Source organism: Homo sapiens, chromosome 2, assembly GCF_000001405.40.
Source record: "Homo sapiens chromosome 2, GRCh38.p14 Primary Assembly".
In the NCBI taxonomy this organism is placed as follows: Eukaryota; Metazoa; Chordata; class Mammalia; order Primates; family Hominidae; genus Homo; species Homo sapiens.
This window is the reverse complement of record NC_000002.12, coordinates 217,203,270-217,225,031: the sequence shown is the minus strand read 5'-3', so window position 1 is coordinate 217,225,031 and position 21,762 is coordinate 217,203,270. Positions and strand designations below refer to the sequence as shown.

Here is a 21,762-nt window from a genome sequence, read left to right as displayed (position 1 = left end):
TTTGGTGAGCATATGGGGGTGAGAGTGGCATCCAATGTCATTCACCATTTATCAAGGCAAGGAAAGAAGCCCTGGTTTTACTGTACAGTGCCTAAAAAATAAAGCATCTAGAAAAGCTAAATATTATATCGGCCTAATGTGCACTCTATGAGTAGAGGCTTGTCTGCTTTTCATTTTGAGGTCTTCTGAGACTTCCTAACATGGCCAAGAAAACTCTTGGATATACTTTGGTGTTTGGGTTGTACCAAGCTTATAGTCCCGCTTGAAAATAATGGTATATTAGTTATCTATTGCTGCATAACCAATTACCCCTAAGGTTGGAGGCCTAATACAACAAAGATTCATGATCTCAAAGTTTCTGAGTCAGGAATTCAAGAGCAGCTTAGCTGGTGGCTATGGCCTAGGGTCTCTCATGAGGTTGCAGTTAAGACTTGACAACGTTGCAGTTTGCCTGAAGGGCTTAACTGGGGTTAGGGGATCTGTTTGCAAGATGGCTCACTCACATGGCCATTGGCAAGAAGCCTCGGTTCCTCACTGACAACTAGCAGGAGGCCTCAGCTGCTCTGCATGTAGCACCCTCCATGGGATGGTTTTGCGTCCTCATGATACAGCAGATGTCCTCCCTCAGAGCAAGTGATCTAGGAGAGACAGCAAGATGGAAGATGCAGTATCTTCCAGGATCAATTGTTGTAAATCATACTTCATCACTTTTGCCATATAATATTTTTTAGAGGTAAGTCACTAAAAATAGTCCACACTTGAAAGGAATTAAGCTCCATTTTTTAAAGGAAAGTATATTAAATAATTTGTGAGCATATTTTATTTAAAGCTACTCACCACAAGTGGGATGGCCACTGGAGTCTGGAGAGTTTCAAACTGTAACTCCTTGAATTCAGCTGGAGTCAGTATAGCATAGCAGAGCAGGGTGAGATTCAGGTTCCAATGGACTCAAGGGTGCGACCTGGCCAAGACGAGCTCCTGGGAGTGCCACCTGTGCCATCTCGCAAACCCCACACTCAGAACGACTTCATCTTTGGTTTAATACTCTGTTGCCATCTTGAAATTAAAATTCTTGGTAATTCTTAGTAATTTTGTCTTTGTATCTGTGTTTTGTAAGTGAAGTCCAACGATACCATGGAGCATGTGCAGGAGCAGAGGAGATAGCAACAATAAAAGCGTTTACTGCCATTTCTTGCTGTCCTATTTGCATATAGTGTTCATAAAATCCCATGAGCACGGGATTCCGATGAGTCTACATTGCATGGGAGCTCAGAAGGGACTCAAAGCAAGCACACGGTAAGCATGTTATGTGTACAACTAAGGATGTGGGGACCACACCACTGACAGTCCCAGGAGGCCACATTTTCCATTCAAGCCAGAAAGAGGGCAAGGACATTCTAAGAAACAAGAATTAGCAAGGGACTCTGTCATATCCTTTATTACTCATGTTACTTCCTCTATTAGTCAACCACTTGCACTGAAAATGATACCATAGAAGGAAAGAGAAAGATAGGGCAAACCATAGTGCCTTTTCTTTTCAGTCCTCTTACTCATCAGTAAGTCAAAGGTAGAGAGTGTTGATAGAATGTGCATATTATTAAGAAGAAAAGTACAAATACTTGAACTGGTTTCGTGCAGTGTTTACAGTGTTCTGATAAGAGCAAAATATATATGCGTGTACAAGCTATGAAGTATAAATTGTGTGATTTCGGTAATCTCATAGGAATGAAATACTCTTAGTTTGCATTTAAAAGTGTCATTGCACAATATCAAGATGAATGGTAAATCTATGCTAGTAATTTATCATTTCAATTTTTCTTTATTTAGAACATGAAATAGCAAATTGAAAAACAACACGACCATGACAAGTCAAGGGAGACTGTGAAAGAAATAAAAAAGCTTTATATTTTACTACCTCTAATGACAGTTTTCCCCTGCCTTTTATTTCAAAAACACATTCAGTCTGTAGCATAGAATGAGGTTATGTAACCTTGAACAGTAATAGAAATGATCAAAATACAAAGGCATGGTAATTTATAGGGAGCTGAGTGTAAAACATAAAAAACAGCATTCTCAAGTCGTTTTTTCAGAAGTCCATAGGTGTTGCTTATAAAATAGAGACTACAAAGCCTTGAAGAAAACAGGTTCACAGGAGCAAGATATGGTTCAAGCTGAGAGTCCTCTGCCAAATCAGGGGGGTTGGTAAAATCTAGGGAGAGAACGATTCTAATTTCAAGAAGAAAAGCACTAGACAGAAAAAAGGAACTGAGAAACTGAGAAGCAGAAGTATTACGTTGATGCAAAAGTAACTGCGGTTTTTGCGGTTACTTTTAGTGACAAAAATCGCAATTACTTTTGCACCAACCTAATACATATAGTAGGCCCAAGGCAGTGGATCTGGTGTACAGATATTAGAGATGGATTGAAGGGAGAAAGGGGCAGAAAAAGAGACAACCAAATAGCTTAGACACATACTCCTAAGGCCAGAGCCTGGGCACCAGTAGCAGGGCTGAGTGATGTGGCCATGATCTTCAACTCAAAGAATGTTCAAAGTAGGAGGGACCCCAGAACTCATCTAATTCAAACCACTTATTATCAGTGGGATAAAATGAGGCACAAAAAGGGACATGACTTATCCAAAACTATGGAATTTGTAACAGAAGATAATATTTTAATTTATGCCTTTTCTGCTGTATCACAAAGTCAATTTATAGGTCAGATGGGAATACCTAGGATCTATACTAGAATATGTCTTTCTCCCCTAGAAAGAGAAAGTAGAAAGACGATCAGCTCCACTTGGAAATAGCAATTATGGTAAAAGAACTAGCTCAAAATCCCACACCCAAATTAACATCTGGTTCTCCAGCACTCACGAAGTTTAAGGCATGTGCTGGGTACAAGGAAAAAGCTCTAGGCTCCAAGATTGTTTTCCTGCTAGACTGGCCCCTAAGGGTCAGGGACCAAATCTGATTTACCTTTCCATCTCTAACACCTGGATAATAGTCGTCTTTGACTATTTATTTTCAATAAGTAATTATTTTATTCCTAGGGTCCCTTGCATTTCTATTCTCCTAATATTACATATAAATTCGCTGAGATAAGAGAAGTAAAGAGAGAAGTCAGTGATCACAGAGTGAATGAATTAAGAGCAGAATTCAAGTCTACCTTTCTTGGGCTCTTTCTCCTCACCATTGCTGTTGCTATTCCCTCCAAAGGATTAGGACAAAGGAAAGAGATGAAGCAAAAATGGATACAAAATTGAGTAATAATACAACAATTAAATAATCCGAAAATCAAAGTCTAGGAGAAAGATCTATGAACTGGAATATGAATATGTAGTAAGAGCTTCTTTAGAGTCTAAGGCTGGACTGTTCATAGGCACATTGGCATTTGCAGCATCTAAAACAAGGCTTGGCATATACCTCCCATTGCTACTAAAATAATAGATAGTATATCCTGTAGTTAGACTGTTCAGCAGCATATATCAAGTGCCAGCTTAGTGCTTCAAACTTGAGTTACATTGACAGAAGCCTTCAAAACAATATTGTGTGAGATAAACACAATGGTTGCAGTCTATGGTCTGAAATTCTTTTACTGTGGGAAGGCCAGTTTTAAAGATGATTTGAAGGTCAAATGAGGTCACCTTTAACATAATGTAGCATTTACTGGACTGCAGTGGTCAAGGGAAAACAAAGAGGTTTTTGGAGAACTTAGACATTGGAGAATAGTCATGCTCTTGGATGGCATTATCCAAAGACGGTGGCAGTTGAGTGGAATCCAATAACCACGCTACGAAAGAACATAATCTGAGCTATGGGTGAAGTAGGGGAGTGAGGGCCACAGACCAGAGGCCTTTCGGAGTTTCTCAAATCTTTAAATATCTTTCAAGAAGGGGGACCCTATAGCTCTTTCAGTACCATCATATCAGCTTATTTATGATACCAGAACTATAACTGTATTCTAAGTCACCAGAATTGACAGCAATTTATATGGGTTTGATTTTTTTTTAGTGACTAGAGAAAAAAATAAGTATCAGTTACTTTCTTGACCTACCAGGCCAGCCTTTGCAGAAAGAGGGATAAAGCATCCTTGATGAGGAACAAATAAAATTATACTGTGAAGAAATTTCCAACTGGTCAGATCAGGATGTAATTCTCTTGTTTGTGTTTTTCTTAGAAAGCATTTCCATTTTGCCTGGCTCTGGGAACAAAGCCAATGTCTGCTTTAGAGGAACAGAGATTTCCAGTAAGTTGGGCTGGCAATAGTGGCTGGGTGGGTGGGATCACAGGGAGGGTTTATGGGGGGACAGTTCCGAAACCCATGTACAAGCCTAGAAAGGGCGAGATGGTTGGTTTGCCTCATATTCTCAGATCAACAAGGCCTCTGAGACATTTTTATGGGCCAGGGAGGGATGAGACTGAGTCAGAAGACAGAGCCTAGACACCTCCAATACCCTTGCCTCAAATAATTAACAAATCACAAAAGCAGGGTGGGAAAGGAGGGAGGAAAGGAAGCAGAAGTGAAGAGAGACACTGTTCTCCCACTCTCTGCTGGTTAGACCTAACAAGGTTATGCTTCATGCTGGGTTTCACAATAGCATCAACCTCAGCCTCAGAAGCATGTCTTAGAACCAGTCCCCGGAGATCAAGAACCACGTTCTTCTCTTCCTTCTCTCCAAATCACTTCCTTTTATCTATTTTTCCAGCACAGCGAATGAGAAAAAGGACACAGACCCAGGATTCAGAAAGGAAATGAGGACAGAGACTAACACTGTCTAAATACATAAAGGCAGAAGACATTTTCTCAGGTGAGTTATATACCTGCCTTATTCATATGATCTTCACAAGTCAGTCAGAAAACTTCGGTTTCAGTCCTGGTTTTACACTAAAGGGTTGAACGACTGTGAACAAGTCCCATAAGTTCTGCTCTCCTCACTGAGGAGTGCAGAGTGTGTATAAAATGGGAACAATGCTATTTTCCCAGCTACCCTAGAACATTGTTTCAAGAATCAAATGGGATAATACTCAAAGAAGTATTTGGTGAGCTGTGAAATGCTGAACATATGCAAGGAATTATTATTTAGCCAATAAACATCTCTCCAAGACACCAGTCTCTGAGATTGCCCCACTTGAGAGATAGCTCTCTTCTCTATTTACCTCAAACACGTATTCTGACTCCAATCCAAAGTCACTTGGAAATTGGCCTCAAAGATCTAACCATAGCCTTGGCACCAGACAGAAAATCAGATCTCACTTCCTGCCCCTGCTTTTATTTGCAATGTAGCTTCCAAAGCAAGAAACAAAATCTCAAGCTCCATTAATAATGAAACAAGGAGGCTCAAAAGCCTCACATCCTAACATTGGGCTCAATGAAGAAGGAGGAAGCATCAGTGATGATGAGGAAAGGTACAAGTGCAGGGTGAAGGTGGGAGTTGGCCTTAAGAGAGAGCTTATTGTCCTGATTGCGACAGGAAGGTCTTAAAGAATGGTGTCTTCTGGGAGGCATCATTTTCCACAGATGGTCAGGAATGCCAAATCAGTCCTAGACAAAATTAGAGCCTCTAGAGAAGGAAATTAGGAGAGACTGTGGGAAACTGGCATGAAGAAATTTTAAAAGGAGGGGAGAACACCGAATCATCTGATGACCTGCCATGTGCCAGAGGCTGTCTTATGCACGTTTCATACATCTGTGATCTCATGTTCTCCAGCCTGCATCTTGCCTCCTTTGCTGCTGATGTGCTAAGCCATTGGAGAGCAGACAGCTCTGGGTGGTCATGTTCTAGTAGCAGAAACCCTTCAGGAATTCAGACAGTACCCACCCATTGACTATTGGAAGAAAAAAAAATCTGGGTCAAGATGAGAACTGACAGAGAAAAAGGAGGAAAGAAGACAAATGGAGCTCAGGGCAGTGGTGATGGTGGAAGTGCATCTATTAGGACAATTACCCAAGCAGCAACTCTGGATTCCTCCACTTGCTTACACGGTGTCTCCTTCCTTTCCTTCCCTCCCCAGCCCTTGTCTCTACTGAACATCTGTCAACACTGGCCTCAACCACTAGATTCTATCATTGTGGTTAAAAGCTGAGATAAGCTTGGACTCAAGTCCTACTCCCTCCTCTTGCTTGCTAGCTGTGTGGCCCTGCTGTGTCAGTTAACACTAAGTCTCAGTTCCTCTTCTATTAAACAGCGTTAATAATGCTTATTGTTTCCAAAAAATTGAAATACATTTTGTACATAAAGTGTTGAACCCAATGCCTAGTTTAATAATTGGAGTCTTTATAATTACTTTATGATTAATCATCCAGGTGTCATCTCGTAGCTCTCACCACTTTCTCTAGGACATTTATTAAGCGCTTACTACTCACTATTGGATTAGGCACTGAGACTGTGAAGACAAAACAGACACAACTCCTGACCTCAAGGAGCAAATAATCGAATGCAAACAATGGGGTGTGGAGACCACAAGGAGACATACTGGCTGTGGTCCTATATTTGAAGGCTGTCACATGGACAGAGGGGTAAGTTTGTTTCACAGGCTCTGGAGGTGAAGAGCCACTCTGGTGGTGAAAGTCAGGGCAGTTTCAGCTGCTGGCAAGCTGCTGTGAATTCCCATGAGTGGGGCTGAGTCAGGGATCCTGCAGAGGTGACTCCTGTCTTGGGACATGCTGTGTTCTCAGTGGTTTTCAGGCTCTGCTCCATGCTGATTAGACAGGGGCTTTGAGGAGGCATCTCAGAGGCTGTTTGGTGAGGGAAGGAGGGCAGAGGTGACATAGGCCCTCAGCCTCCTTTTTGGGGTATTATCTAGGGCAGCGTTGATTGTATCTGTTTTATAAACTGGAAATCTGAGTTAGACTCAAAGAAAAGATCAAGTTGCTAAAAACGTTCTGAAACTGCCAGGTTAAATTATTTCTAAGATCCTTTCCAAAGATGAGATGTTAGCATTCTCTAGCCTTTCTCAGTGCAGAGGTGTCTGAAACTGACACATTGCAGCATCATATTTGTCCATATTCAGAACCTGAAGCCTCCGTGAACATCTGTGGCTCTTCATCCATAGTTCTTTAATTCCGCCGGGTTTTTTTGCAGTATATTTCCTAATTTCTCTTTATCATCTCAATCCTTCCCTACTTTTTCCATTAACATAGCTCATTCTCACCAATTCAGAAATCAGAGAAGAAGCAGATCCAAAGAGAGGTTTAACCTGCTGAGAATTACTAGAGAAGCAAGTTTTCTGCTTGCAGAAGGACCAAAGGCGAACATAACAATAGGTCAGGCAACTGTTGACTTTATTTAACTTGAACCCTATTACATCAGGCTATAGGTCAGAGGCCAGGCTGCCAGAAATATGCAAAAAATAACCCCTCCGGAGAAATGAGAGGCTGATTGTGCCACTAAGGGGGCCTCTCTCCACTGTGATGTTCCCAAGGGGCCGGAAGGGGACTCTCAGGCTGAAAATAGGGCCTGGTATGAATTTTCTCATTACCGGAGAACTACTCCAAGATGGAATTGAGTTCTACATCCCAATACAATTTGGACGTGAACAGGAATTCAAGGTCATTGTTGCCTTCTTTATCACCTTCTGACAAAGAGCAAAGTTCCTTGTTTAAAAAAGAAAAGAGAAAATGAAAGAGAGGGAAGGAGGGAGACAACAGAAGAAAGAAGAGAAGAGGAATCTTTAGAAAATAAAAATCACACACAGTAAACGAGTTCCAATGTGCTGCCTCAGATGAAGAGCCTGTGACACAATCATGGCCCTAGAGTTTTAAAACTCTAAATATTTTCAGTGGGTTATAAATCTGAAACAGAACATGAAGTTGTCAAGACCTATTTGCACCCCTGCTGGTAGAAACAGCTGACCAGGCACTTTAGTCACTGTATACAAAGGATATACCTCTTCATGTTTCCGTGTTTCTATCCAAAATACACCCATTTTGTCCTATGTCATGGCCACATATTAAGGGAAACACCCATCTCTCTGTGAAAGCAGTCTGAACTAGCAATGTGAAATAATTACTCTGCAAACTCTTCTAATTGCAGTGATCTGTTTCTTGTCAAGAAAATGTCAAAACCTAATTTAATTCATCAACTCACCCATCTCCTTGAGTAAAAATGGGTTGAAGTTATTCTTTTATGATGCTTCCTGTGTTTATAAGAAAGGATCCTAAGACAAATTTTGTCTTATTCCCCTGCTAGGGAATTTGTCTCATATGCGACCTGGATATTTTGCCCATAATTCCAGGATGTCTGCCTGGCTGGAGAGATGTTTGGAGCTCATCTGCCCCAAAGGGAGGGAAGAGTTATGTGGCACTGCACTAACGAGCTGACATGGAACCTTATGTACACAGGAATAACTTAAGGAAAGCATTTCCCCTTTACTTGAGAGTTATCCTCTGCGCGATCCTACAAAAATCTTCAGAGAGGAAGTCTCTGGAATGTAGCTGTCCTGTGCATTGATAGAGCATTGCTTTATTTAGTGGGTTCTCCGACATTTATCTAGGCATGTGTTCACAGCACTTTAAAGTGTCATGTAACAGGCTCAAGATTTAGTTTCTTAGAGCCAGAAGCATGGGCAGAAGCCCACTGTGGGGTGTGAATGGATGAGTTTCAGGCTGATAATACTCACATCCCTGCTCGTCAAAGCTCTGAACTAATTGATACCTAGACCCAGGAATTCACTAGAGATCATCAGCTTAATTGCTTGGGAAACTGAACTGGAGAGCACATTAAAATCTGAAGCCAAAGTAGGTGGCAACCTTATATTTCCTCTTAAGTTGAAACGTTGGGACCCAAGGCTGAATTGCATTTGCAGAGCTGATGCTTACTCAGACACGAGGAAAACTGTGCCTTCTCCTTGTCCAGGGACGGAGAGGCTCTTGGGGCTGGGGGCAGGGTGGAGAGTGAGGCCCCATGTATTCTGACTTTTAACTTCGCTCACTGCAGTCAAGCAGGAACATGGATGAGTGGATGATGATTCTTCTATGTCTCATCAATCAAATAAATCTCCCCCTCCCGTGTGGAGATGTCAACTGGGGTGGAAGGAAGGTCAGAGTTCTCAAGAATGATCCTGTCAGGGTAGAAGTTGCTTTCTTTGGAAACATGATACAGACCAGGGGTAAGAGAGAGCACGGATGCTGAATGCTGGACACTAGCTGCCTGGGTTTCAATTCTCCTTGGGTCATTGACTGGATCACTTTAGAAAGGTTCTTATAACCTCTCTAAGCCTCAGTTTCTTCAAAGTAGAAAAGGGCCAGGTGCAGAGGCTCACACCTATAATCCCAGCACTTTGGGAGGCTTAGGCGGGAGGATGGCTTGAGTGCAGGAGTTTGAGACCAGCCTGGGCAACAAAATGAGACCTCGTCTCTAAAAAAAAAAAAAAAAAAAAAAAAAAAAAAAAAAAAAAAAAATTTTAAGTCAGCTGGGCATAGTGGCACATGCCTGTAGTCTCAGCAACTCACGAGGCTGAAATGGGAGGATGGCCTGAGCCCAGAAGCTCAGGCTGCAGTGAGCTATGATTGCACCACTGCACTCCAGCATGGGCAATAGAGGAAGACTCTGGCTCAAAAAGTAAAAATTTAAAAAAGTAAGTAATTTAAAAAGGAATAATAATAGAGCTTTTAAAAAAAAGTGTGGTTTTTTTTCATACTATTGCTTAAAGAAACAATGAGTTGAAGTCTTCAGCACAATGCATGAGCAGCAGAGAGGGCTAACTATATATTCACTATTCTGAGTTATTTGATTACTTGGGACAGAAGGGATGGTCTTTTTTTAATTTTTTAATTTTTTATTTTTATTTATTTATTTTTTACTTTTTTAATTATTATGTTTTTTTAATAGACCAATCATTATGTTTAATCAGCTTTCATTTCTGAAATATCCTGGTATTTTGGATATACTCCATAGTCTTTTTTTTTTTTTTTTCTTCTAAACAGCTTTATTAAGGTAGGGTTGGTAAACAAAAAAACTGCACCTACTACTGTACAATTTGATGAATTTGGACATATTCAAAGGGTTGGGGTTTGTGAGGAGCCTTCTTTCTTCTTCCTTCTTTCTGCTTTCTGATTTCTGCTTTTGTCTTTAAGTTTCCTGCTTCACACCCATGCTTCTGTGCTTCGGTGATGACACAAGGATAGAAAACTCAAATCTGTTGAGACGGTGTGGTGTAGGCAAGAATAAGCAACTTTCTGCCAAGACTCAATCTTTCAAAAATTGAGCACCCATTTTGTGTAGGGCAAATCAGGACGGTAACATACAGAGTATACTCTTCTGTACCAAGGGAAAGTCCCCTCCCCTGTAATTGGGCTGCATTCACCCAGACGTTGGTCCTGGGGAAAGACCTGATGGTGCATATCTCTTGTCTGAGACCAGCCCTACCATGAAGATGGAGCTCATTGTAAAAGCCTTCCGGTAAAAGCTTTTACTGAAGCTAATCTCCTCGGCAGCCTATTTCCCTTGGAGGCCCTCTGGTAGTCAAACCATGGGGCCAACTTGAAATGCTCTGGTGAATTGGATCAAAGTGGGAAGACCAGAGTTCCTTGAATTATACTGAAGTAGAGACACTGAGAACTTACATGAGTTGAGAGTATGAGAATAATAATTAGGATAGTTGGGAACCAACATTTTAAAAGATTTTTTCAAATTGTATGTGTTAGATTTGTTTTAATCAAAAGATTAAATCTTGGGTTTAATCATTGACTTTATTGGACTTATATTTTGGTTTCCTTGTTCTTGGATTTCTATATTTCCCATTATATATTTCCTCCTGTTTTTTTTCTGTTTCTTTTTCCAAATAATTAAGGTGAATGCTTGGTTCCGTTATTTTTATTCTTTTTTATCAATAAGGAAAACATTTAAGATTATGAATTTGCTTCTAGGTAAGGCTTGGCTACATTGCATAGATTTAGTAATTTCATGTTTTGTAGTAGTGTAGGAATGCAATATTTTCTAACAAATGTTCATTGCAATTTTGATTTCCTCTTACATCCAAGCTTCGCATGACTTTTTTAAATTGCTAGTTGTTGTTTTATACATTTTTAATTTTGATGTCATTTTTAATTGATAGGTCACCGATATGTTAGTGCAAAAATGTTGCCTAAATATTAGCTTTTATAAATTAAGATTTTCTTTCTAATGCAGTATATTAATAGTATTTTCAGAGCATTCTGTGGGCAAGTGGAAAGAAGCTATGGAGTCTGTTTTTCAGATCCCCCCAATCTCCTTCCCCCAAGGAGGGGGAATTATATTAGATACGTAAATATATGTGCATATACACATTATATACTTATGCATACATGTTAATATAACTAATATTGTTGTTTACAGTTTCACTGACTTTATTTTTGATCTATGTTATCTTTTTTTCTTTTACATTTTATTTTAACTTTTAGGTTCGGGGCACATAAACAAGTTTGTTATATAGGTAAACTCGTGTCATGGGGGCTTGTTGTACAGATTATTTTGTCACCCAGGTACTACACCTGGTACCCATTATTTTTTCTGCTCCTTTCCCTCCTTCCACCCTCCGTCCTCAAGGACAAGTCTTTTGTGGGAACATGGATGAAGCTGGAGGCCATTATCCTTAGCAAACTAACACAGGAACGGAAAACCAAATACTGCATATTCTCACTTATAAATGGTATATATATACCATAATCAATATAAATGATCTATATTATCTATCAAAAACTGATATTTGTGTTAGAGTGTCTCACAATACCTTTGTGTTCACTTTTTCTTACATTTTTTTCTTATATTGTATTTCTAATCATTTTAGCGATTTTGATTTTTTTTTTTTTTTTTTTTTTTTTTGAGACAAGGGTTTCACTGTTGTTGCCTAGGCTGGAGCGCAATGGCACGATCTTGGCTCACTGCAACCTCCGCCTCCCAGGTTCAAGCAATTCTCCTGCCTCAGCCTCCTGAGTAGTGGATTACAGGCATGCGCCACCAAGCCTGGCTAATTTTGTATTTTTAGTAGAGACAGGGTTTCTCCATGTTGGTCAGACTGGTCTCAAACTCCCGATTTTGATTTTTATAGTTTGTCATGAAATTTTCAGTCTGTAAAGGTAATTTCCTCATGGATGATATCATTGATCAATATGAAATTTTTCCAATCATGTTAATGTCTTTTAATCCTACATCTTGTTTGAAATTTATATTGACACTGTTGCTTCTGTTCTTTTATATTTACCCAATACACACACACACACATACACACACATACACAGTCACATACACACACACACAGATGGTGTGTATGTATTTTTTATGCCATCTTTAAGGCATTTATTTTATAAGCAACATGTTATATTTTGTACTATGATACAATTTAGGTCTTTGACTTTAAATTGGGGAGTACACAATGGATAGATTTGGTATCTTGCCTCTCACTGTGTTGTGTGCAGGTGGGACAGTGCAGTAACCAAGAATAAGTTTGTGAGGCAGAGAGGTCAGGGTTTAGATCTTGAATCTTCCTTTTACATCTATGTGACGTCAGGAAAGTGCTTTGTTCACTGTTGATTCATTTGTATAATTGAAACAATAATATAGTATTACTATGGTTGCCATAAAGAGTCAGTAAAAAAAGTAATGGGCACAAAGCATCTAACATTAGCTTGACCCATAGTAGCTATGCAATTAAGGTTGGCCAGAATTTTATATATAACAATTAGTATAAATGTATAATTCTATACATATATCCCAGTTTTTAGGCTTTCTGTTTGTCATTTCTTATACTGCATTTTTAATTTCTCTTTTGATATATGGATTAGGTTGTGTTTGATTTTCTGTGCACTAATGATTTGAAAGGCAAAACATTTGTTTTTGGTTTGTTGGTGGTAAACTTTATGTTTTCCAAAGATGTTACTTTAATTATTTTTCTGTGATTATCAAAGTCAAAAACCACTTTTCCGATGCAATATATAATTTAGAATATCTTACTTGCTACCCTCTTTTTCTCTTTCAATTTTGATTCATATAATCTGGGATTTTCAGTGACAATTCCTTTATAATAAATTAGTATTTGTATAAAGTTTATTTTCTACATAAAAGGTAACATTTGCTTGTTTTGTAACCATATTTGTTACCTGGAGATAATTCTGTGTTTAACAGACTTCATACCAACCACCAGTACTAATATACCATTTTTTCCTAAGTTTTAAGTTTTCCTTTTCCATTCATTTCTCAGTTTTCTAGAGTGTGCCATGAAGAAAATTTCTCAAGATGAAAATGTAAATGATGTGTATTTTTAAATCCCTGATGTATCTGAAAAAAACAACAGATTGTGTATGACATCCTCACACTTCAACCGTTTTGTCCAAACTGTGGACTTAGCCCTAGTGTGATCTAGCTTTATAGCATTAAAGATAATTTTGCTGTGGACATCAATAAAGCCTTATGTTTTGTTTTGTGCATTAATAGGGATCAGATGCCTCCCCTGCCTCCCCCACCCTATCACACCAACACAGGAGTGAGGGATAAGAACCCACAAGAGGGACTAAAGTTGAGTTTTTCCTTCTATCATTTCAGCAGAAAGGGGCCTTGCTATAGAAATTCAGCTAAACCTTTACTTTTTATACCAGTTGTATTTCACCTGAGTGGAATGTATGTAATGATATACACAGTTTCTACTGTAAACCAAAAAGTATCTGAGACAGGTCTCAATCAATTTAGAGGTTTATTTTGCCAAGATTAAGGAGCATGGCCCATGACACAGTCTCAGGAGGTCCTGAGAACACGTGCCCAAGGTGGTTGGGTTACAGCTTGGTTTTAATCATTTTAGGGAGACAGAAGTTACAGGTAAAAACAGAAATCAATACATGGAAACTATACCTTTGTTTGGCTCAGAAAGGTGAGATATCTCAAAGATGGGCTGTGGGGAGGCCTCCCAGGTCACAGGGAGATTCAAAGATTTCCTAATTGGCAATTGGTTGAAAGAGTTAAGCTTTGCCTGAAGAGTTTGAAGTTAGAATAAAGAAATGAGATATCATCTCATGCCAGTCAGAATGGTGATTATTAAAATGGCAAGAAACTACAGGTGCTGGCAAGGTTCCAGAGAAATAAAAACGCTTTTACACTGTTGGTGGGAATGCAAATTAGTTCAACAATTGTGGAAGACAATGTGGCAATTCCTTAAAGATCTAGAACCAGAAATACCATCTGACCCAGCAATCCCATTATTAGGTATATATCCAAAGGAATATAAATGATTCTACTATAAAGATACATGCACATGTATGTTCACTGCAGCACTATTCACAATAACAAAGACATGGAATCAATCCAAATGCCCATCAATGATAGACTGGATAAAGAAAATGTGGTATTTATACACCATGGAAAACTATGCAGCCATAAAAAGGAACGAAGCCATTATCCTTGACAAACTAATGCAGGAAAAGAAAACCAAACACTGAATGTTCTCACTTATAAGTGGAAGCTGAACAATGAGAACACATGAACACAGGGAGGGGAACAACACACACTGGGGCCTGTCGGGGGGTGGGGTTGGGAGAGGGAGAGCATCAGGAAAAATAGCTAATGCATGCTGGGCTTAACACCTAGGTGACGGGTTGATAGGTGCAGCAAACTACCTTGGTACATGTTTACCTATATGACAAACCTGCACATCCTGCACATGTATCCCAGAACTTAAAATGAAAATGAAAATTTAAAAAAAAGAAATGCATTAGTTAAGATAAAGATTGTGCAAGCCAAGTTTCTTTTTTTTCTTTTCTTTTTTTTTTTTTTTTTTTTTTTAGACAGAGTCTCGCTCTGTTGCTCAGTCTGGAGTGCAGTGGCGTGATCTCGGCTCGCTGCAACCTCCGCCTCTTGGGTTCAAGCAATTCTCTGCCTCAGCCTCCTGAATAGCTGGGATTGCAGGCGCCCGCCACGACACCCAGCTAATTTTTTTGTATTTTTAGTAGAGACGGGGTTTCACCATCTTGTCCAGGTTGATATTGAAGTCCTGATCTCGTGATCCACCCACCTCAGCCTCCCAAAGTGCTGGGATTACAGGCTTGAGCAACCCCGCCTGGCCCACCAAGGTTCTTATTATACACATGAAGCCTCCAGGTAGCAGGCTTCAGAGAGAATAGATGGTAAATGTCTCTTATCAGTACTTAAAAGTTGTCAGACTCTCCAGAAACGACCTAGTGAAGGAAGGGGATTCTCTACAGAATGCAAATTTCCTCCACAAAAGATAGCTTTGCAGGGCCTCTTCCAAATATGCCAAATAAATATATTTTGGGGTAATACAAATACTTCATGTCCTGCTATCTGTCATGTGATGCTATACCACAGTTAGGTTGGAATTTGTCATATTATTGTTACAAAGAGTCTGTTTTGTCAGTCTTATGAGCTCTATTTTAATGTTAATGCTGGTTAGTTGTGCCTGAGGGAGAAGAGTATAACTAGGCATGTCCAAGCCCCTCTTTCTATCATGGCCTGAACTAGTTTTTCAGGTTTGTTTGGTATCCCCTGAGCCAACAGAGGGTCCATTCAGTCAGTTGTGGCGCTTAGAATTTTATTTTTGGCTCACACTGCATAGACCCTTAGATATAACCAAAGGGGAGAATGGAGAATCTCTTCCTCAACTGGAAGGATCTCAGGAAAAATGTAGGAATCAGCACGTCCAGAGCAAATTGTGAAGTCCAGGAAGAAGTTCAGGTTTTAATCCTTTCCCATGGCTGACTCCATGTATTCAAATAAGAGGGCCTAGGATATGTTGGTTGTTCTTTTCTCGAATAATTAAGTAATTCATTCTGTCACTCAGTCAACAAAAATAAACAAAACACATCCCCTGCCCTCAGGTTGCTTAAACTATACAGAAGAGGAAGAGAACAAATGCATAAAAATTTTGTAACATATGAGCATAGAATATAAAGAGTATTAGAAAGAGGCTGGTGTGCCTGTTGATAGGGAGCAGGGAGAGTAGTGGCTGTTCATGAGCAAGTTCTGAGCAAAGTCTCTGGCCCTGGAGGCAACCACAGGGAGTCTGGAGAGCCATTAGGGTGAATGCGTCTCTAAAGGTCTGGACCACTGGCCTCTAAGGACCTTTCTGTTCTGAGCTTCTGTGAGAAAGAAGGCATTTAAATAACAGCATCTTGGTAACCTGACTTGCACCTCTTCTCAAAACTTGTATATCTTATTCAGTCTTTCTCAGTTCTCCCCAGATTTCCAGCTTTTTCACAGCCTCACTCCACAGAGGTCCTGCCATCTCAGTCACTTATAAAGCCCTTATAAGTATAAAACCTTTATGCTATAATTCTTTACATGCATGTTCTTGCCTCTAAGATGAGTCGGCTCCTAAAAAAATAGGGATAAGTCTTAACATTCTAGATAACAGAAAGATATTGAAGGGTGCCTGTCCTTCCATTAACTTCACTTTCCTCAGAAGGATAGAATGGTGGGGGTGGGGGTATCATTTTTTCTTTATATACCTGCATATAATCTGACTTGTTGTCTCAGGTATGTAATGTTCTACTTTTATTATTAGTAAAGTCAGTAAAGGGAAAGAAAGGACAAGAAAAATAAGGAGAAGAAAAAAATACAAAGGAAAAGAAACTTCTATGTATCTTGCCATAGTAACCTGCCCAGAGAGACACCATAACTATTTGTTAAAACAAATTGGTTCTCTAATCGGCCATCTTGGCTTCCACCCTCTGGGCTCACCTCTCTCGTCTCCTTTCTGGTCATTTTGCTCAAACAAAGTGGAACCATTAGCATCACTGCAACTTAATTTTATTCTGCTTACTCTGGCCCCACAAGACCATGTATACGTCCAAACCCACAGATTACTGGTAATTTTTTTTCCCCTCCACTTCCAGAGCGGGGAAGAACTAAAACCCACAGATAACAGGAAATGTTCCTTTCCGGCTGAGAATCCCCGAATACAAGGCATAGTAGGGCCTCAACCCCTTCACACCAGCTCCTGGACTGCTGCAGAACAGACTTCCCTGGTGGTTTGAGGCTGGGGGCTGAGCTTTTCCTTCAACATGGGATCTTGAAGAACTTCCCAGCTACCCAAAGCCGCAATTTCCTCCACCGCACACAGAAGCAGCTGAGTCAGTACTAGCCCAGGCACAATGATGAAGGGGTTGTTTGCCTTTGGTTCCAGGCCTGTCTCCCTCTCAAGCCCTGTGGCCCTTCCTGGACTATCCTGAGCACTTCATCTGCCTAAACCTGTTTCTTCTTTTCTGCCCAGCAACCCGGGGATAGATCCTTTTCCGTTCCACTGAAGCTTGCAGAGAAAAGCGGGCTGTGAGAAGCAAGGCCCCGGAGGGGAGGCAGACAGACCCTGAGCCGTGCAAATTTGTGCAAATGCCTGGATTTGCCCCGAAGGCAGAGAGGGTGGGGAGCTTCAGAGACCAACAGGGTAAGTTGCCAGAGCATGCTGGACACGCCATGGCCTCTTGCCCATCTGCAAAATGAGCACGAGGATGACGGCTCACAGGGAAGCGTGGAGAGCCGATGAACTGGCGCGTGGTGCACTGGCTGCCCCACATCAGCTCTTCACAGTATTTCATTTCCACCAGGCCTTGCTCCCTAATAATTCCTCCACCTCCCTTTGCTTATGCCTCAAGCTAAACCTGAGGTCTGGCTTAATAGGAGAGTCAGGTAACAGCTGTGCTTTCTTGCCATGATCCCCTTCTGCGACATGAGTCTTGCCTTTGTTATTATCTAACCTTTTAGAGGCTGCGATAGAGAGAGAAGCAAATACTTGTGGATTTGTGGAGACTGCCAGGCACAAGATACCTGATACACAGGAGTCTCCAGCTCTGCTTATAGAGGAATCTCTCATCACCTCCCCACAATCTGATCTTTGTCTCCTCTACGAAAAATGAATGATATCTTACCCAGTCTTTTCACCAAGTCCATTAACAGGCAGCTGCATCTTAAAATCTATCCCCCTGAGCATGGGCCTTCTCCAGTCACACGTCACTTAAGCCGTGTCTGGCAAGTTAGATTCTTCTTGTAAAGAAAGGAACTAAGATGAGAGAAAAATAAACGGAGAACAGAATGTCCCCTGGGAAACTCAAATCTAGCAAAATACAAGATAGGGAATATGTCAGGGTGCTCCCCAGGTGCTTACTAGACAAAGTGATTTGTTACTATTTCTGTCGGGTCTGAGGTTCCCAGGCTGAAAGCTCAAGTTCATTCTTCCTCCTTAGGGGAGTCTCTGCTGTCTCAGCCACCTATGAATGGGGCACGTGGGAGGATGAGAATAGAGGGGAAGAAGAGTACGGCAAGGTCAGCATCATGCTTTCCACGGCTTCCTTCTGAGTTGGGGCTTCCTTCAAGCTGAATCTATTGAGCATGTATTATTTGCCAGGTGCTCAGCTCTTTAAAAGTATTAACTCATCTAATCTTCATAGCAAGCTCATGAGAAAGGCACTGTGGCTATCTCCATTGTAGAGGTGAGGAATGTAGGGCTCGGCCAGGTTATGAGACTAACCCACAGTCACACAACCAGGCAGTGACAGGCTGGAACCTGGAGTCAGGCTCCCACTCTTACCACTCACCACAATGCCTCTTCTGCTGTCAGTCACTGTGTGACCCTGGAGGACTCACTTCCTGGCTCTGGGTCTCACTTTCCTTCTCCATAGCATGAAAGGGTGAATGAAATATTCTCTACATTTCCTTCTTCCTTCGCTTCTTTATAGTTCCTTCAGCTCTTTTCTTTTCCAATGCAAAGGGAGAAGATTAAATAAAGCCCTATTTTCAATTCCCAGGAGAGTTAGTGAAATTCCACTCTCAAAATTAAATACATAAACATTCATTGGCATTCTCAGACTACCACAAAATCAGAACTTTTCCTACAAGTTGTCAACCCACTCCACCCATCCATTTCCCCCTGCCCCTGGTGTTTGGTGTAGACCAAGGCTGTATAATGTTACAGACAGAAAAAGCCTCTTCCTTTCTTTTGTAACTCCCAGCAGGCTATAGACAAATCCGGGATCTCTGAAATACTTTCCCTGGACACTCCTTTTCCATATTTTTTTACCCCCAACATCCCACTTTCCTGATGGCCACAGGCAGACTTGGGCAGAACACCGAGTCATATTTATAAAAATAATATTCATTTCCCCTCTTACATCCCAAATGAAAGAGGAAGGAACTAACTTCATTTAAGCATGGAAAATAAAATTGAACATAACATACACTGGTTCCAAAGCCCCAAACCAGTACCTCACATTCTGCTGTGGTTGCATGGAATTGGAGGGAAAGGAGGGGGAATGCTATTTTAAGATTCTGTAAAGCATTGAAGAAAAGTGCAGAAATACATCCAGACCCTCAAGTTTGTATAAAAGACACCCAATTCCTTTATTCAGTGGAATAGTAGGTTAATATTAGAATCTCTGCCTTAATAAGCAGCTATTTTTTTAAAGCTACTTTATTATAGAGAGGGACTCTCATGTCATTGGTGGGTAACTCCCAGGAAGAATATGGGGAGGAATCTGCAGCCAATATACACAGCCTCAAATGTTACTTTAAATTCAATTTTAAAAGGGGGATTTAGCAGCCGTGATTAAAGTCTCTTGTCTCTGAATCTGCAAACACAAAAATATGCTGAAGAGAAATTTAGACATTTATTACAGGCCATAGATCTTTTAAAGAGGTACGTGTCTGGTTTTCCCCTCCCAAAATATATAGCACTGGATTTAACAAGCAGAGGATGAAGATATTCTGATAGCAGAAAGTTCCTCCTCTATTGGGAGGGTGGGGAATGAGTCAAAAAATAAAATTCTTAGGGCTTCTTGTTTTTTCTTTCTTTGACACAATTATAAGTATAACCCTAATTCTAAATTGCTTAAATAAGAAGAACAATTTATCAAGTTCCCTTCTTATTGAACAAGAAGCTCAAAGTTAACACGGTTTCAAAATTGGTTCCTTCAGTGACTCAGATATATCATCAAGGATCCAAGTTTTTTTTTCCCCTCTTTCTGCTTTACTATCCTCAATCTATCAACATTATCCTTAGGCTCATCCCTCTCATGGTCACAGGATGGCTGCTGAAGTTCCAGACATCACATACAGATGTCACAAGTTCCAGAAAAAGAAAAGGCTTTCTCTTTCTATGTATCTATTTTAAAAGCAAGAAAACTGGCTGGGTGTGGTGGCTCACGCCTGTAATCCTAGCACTTTGGGAGGCCAAGGTGGGCGGGTCACTTGAGGTCAGGAGTTCAAGACCAGCCTGGCCAACATGGCAAAACCCTGTCTCTACTAAAAATACAAAAATTAGCTGGACAAGGTGGTGGGCGCCTGTAATCCCAGCTACTCAGGAGGCTGAGGCAGGAGAATCACTTGAACCCAGGAGGCAGAGGTTGCAGTGAGCCGAGATCATGCCATTGCACTTTAGCCTGGGCTATAGAGTGAGACTTCATCTCAAAAATAAAAATAAAAAAAAGAAGAAGCAAGAAAACCTTGTTTTCCAGCAGTCTCTAACATACTTTCTTCCTGACTCATAGACCAGAGTTTGATCACATTTCTATTACATGAAACCATCATGACCAACTTAGACCAATTAAGAGCCTCCTCTTAAAGCACACGATCTTGCAGTGGGGCTGGATACCCAAAATCACTCATTTATCTAGGCATTTGGGGGTTAGAAAGGAAATAATGCATATTATCAAGATAAACAATAGAGTCTGCCACACTCCATAATGGAAGACTTTCCTCTACATTATTCCACACGTTCAGACAGCTCCAGGGGGAAAGTTTAATCTCTAGGTCCAATGTGTGTTCAAGAATATGTGCTGAACAAAAGAAGGAATCAAAAAATTACTTCTTTTCAATTTTTTCCTGCACTGTATTTTTTTTGGCCAAAGATACATTAAAATCTCTATACTGATTAGTTTTTTAAAGCCACAATTCAAAGAAAAATTAAGCAACGAGATGGACTCCACATTTGTACTAGAAGGAAGACTCCATGTAGGCAGGAGCCATATTCATCTCCTGCACTGATGTATCTTCAGCTACTAGGCACATATCTGGCACAGGCAAGTGCTCAATATATGTTTTGTTTTGTTTTTATAATGAATGAGTGAACATAAAAGCTCCTATTTCCCTCTTAAGACAACTGTAATAGGTATGAACCACAGCACAGGCCAAAGAGAAAATTAGGAAAGTGGAAACATTTTATTCTGGAGAATCTCAATTTTCTTTACTAAAAAGTGCTTTCATTAGTCCTAATGTTTCCAGCACCCCTCTCCATCCTCCATCTTTCCTCAATCCACCCAACTCCCCCACTGAACGTGATGAGCAGATTTACAGAAAAGTGACACTGACAAAAGAAACCTGAATGTCATCTGCTTCTAGCTATAATGGACTATATCCCACTAGAACTACCCTCTGTTATAAGTTGAATTGTGTCCCTTAAAAAGATGCTGAAGTCCTCACCCCCAGGACTTGTGACTGTGACCTTATTGGAAATGGAGTCTTTACAGATGGTCAAGTTAAGATAAGGTGATCAGGGCAGGTCCTAAACTAATACGGTTTTATTTTCTTACAAAAAGGGGAAATTTGTACATAGAGACATGCAGAGAGAGGAGCTGATGTGAAGGCATGGAGAGATTTTCATCTACAAGCCAAGGAATGCCTGAGCTACCAGAAGCCAAGAGAGAGGCAAGGAACAGAGTCTGCCTCACAGCCCTTAAAAGCAAACAACCCTGCTGACATCTTACGTTTGAACTTCCAGCTTCCAGAACTGTGAGACAATAAACTTCTGTTGTTTAAGCAACTCAGTTTGTGGTACCTTGTTATGGCAGGCCTAG

The 21,762-nt window shown here is 40.5% G+C and overlaps 1 long non-coding RNA gene across 1 annotated transcript, besides 4 other annotated features; it reads left to right on the top strand.

Moving 5' to 3' along the window:
- Positions 470–1,669: an enhancer, noted in NCBI's record as "P300/CBP strongly-dependent group 1 enhancer chr2:218088086-218089285 (GRCh37/hg19 assembly coordinates)". NCBI's record gives its function as "activates an origin of replication core promoter dependent on BRD2, BRD4, P300/CBP, MED14 and CDK7 cofactors, with strong dependence on P300/CBP, by STARR-seq in HCT116 cells {active_cell/tissue: HCT116}" and the evidence as "EXISTENCE:reporter gene assay evidence [ECO:0000049][PMID:35650434]".
- Positions 4,175–17,260, top strand: LOC105373872 (uncharacterized). The gene is made up of 3 exons (XR_923875.3): positions 4,175–4,245; positions 4,706–4,807; positions 17,193–17,260. It is a non-coding gene; the product is annotated as an uncharacterized LOC105373872 (long non-coding RNA).
- Positions 5,660–5,899: an enhancer, noted in NCBI's record as "active region_17104". NCBI's record gives its function as "activates an Ori minimal core promoter by ATAC-STARR-seq in GM12878 lymphoblastoid cells {active_cell/tissue: GM12878}" and the evidence as "EXISTENCE:reporter gene assay evidence [ECO:0000049][PMID:35858748]".
- Positions 6,639–6,807: a silencer, noted in NCBI's record as "fragment chr2:218082948-218083116 (GRCh37/hg19 assembly coordinates)". NCBI's record gives its function as "represses an EF-1alpha promoter that drives an FKBP-Casp9 reporter gene in an ReSE screen in HepG2 liver carcinoma cells {active_cell/tissue: HepG2}" and the evidence as "EXISTENCE:reporter gene assay evidence [ECO:0000049][PMID:32094911]".
- Positions 15,341–16,180: an enhancer, noted in NCBI's record as "NANOG-H3K27ac hESC enhancer chr2:218073575-218074414 (GRCh37/hg19 assembly coordinates)". NCBI's record gives its function as "activates a minimal SCP1, AML or CMV promoter by ChIP-STARR-seq in naive H9 embryonic stem cells {active_cell/tissue: H9 hESC(naive)}" and the evidence as "EXISTENCE:reporter gene assay evidence [ECO:0000049][PMID:30033119]".
- Positions 17,261–21,762: the final 4,502 nt, after the last annotated feature.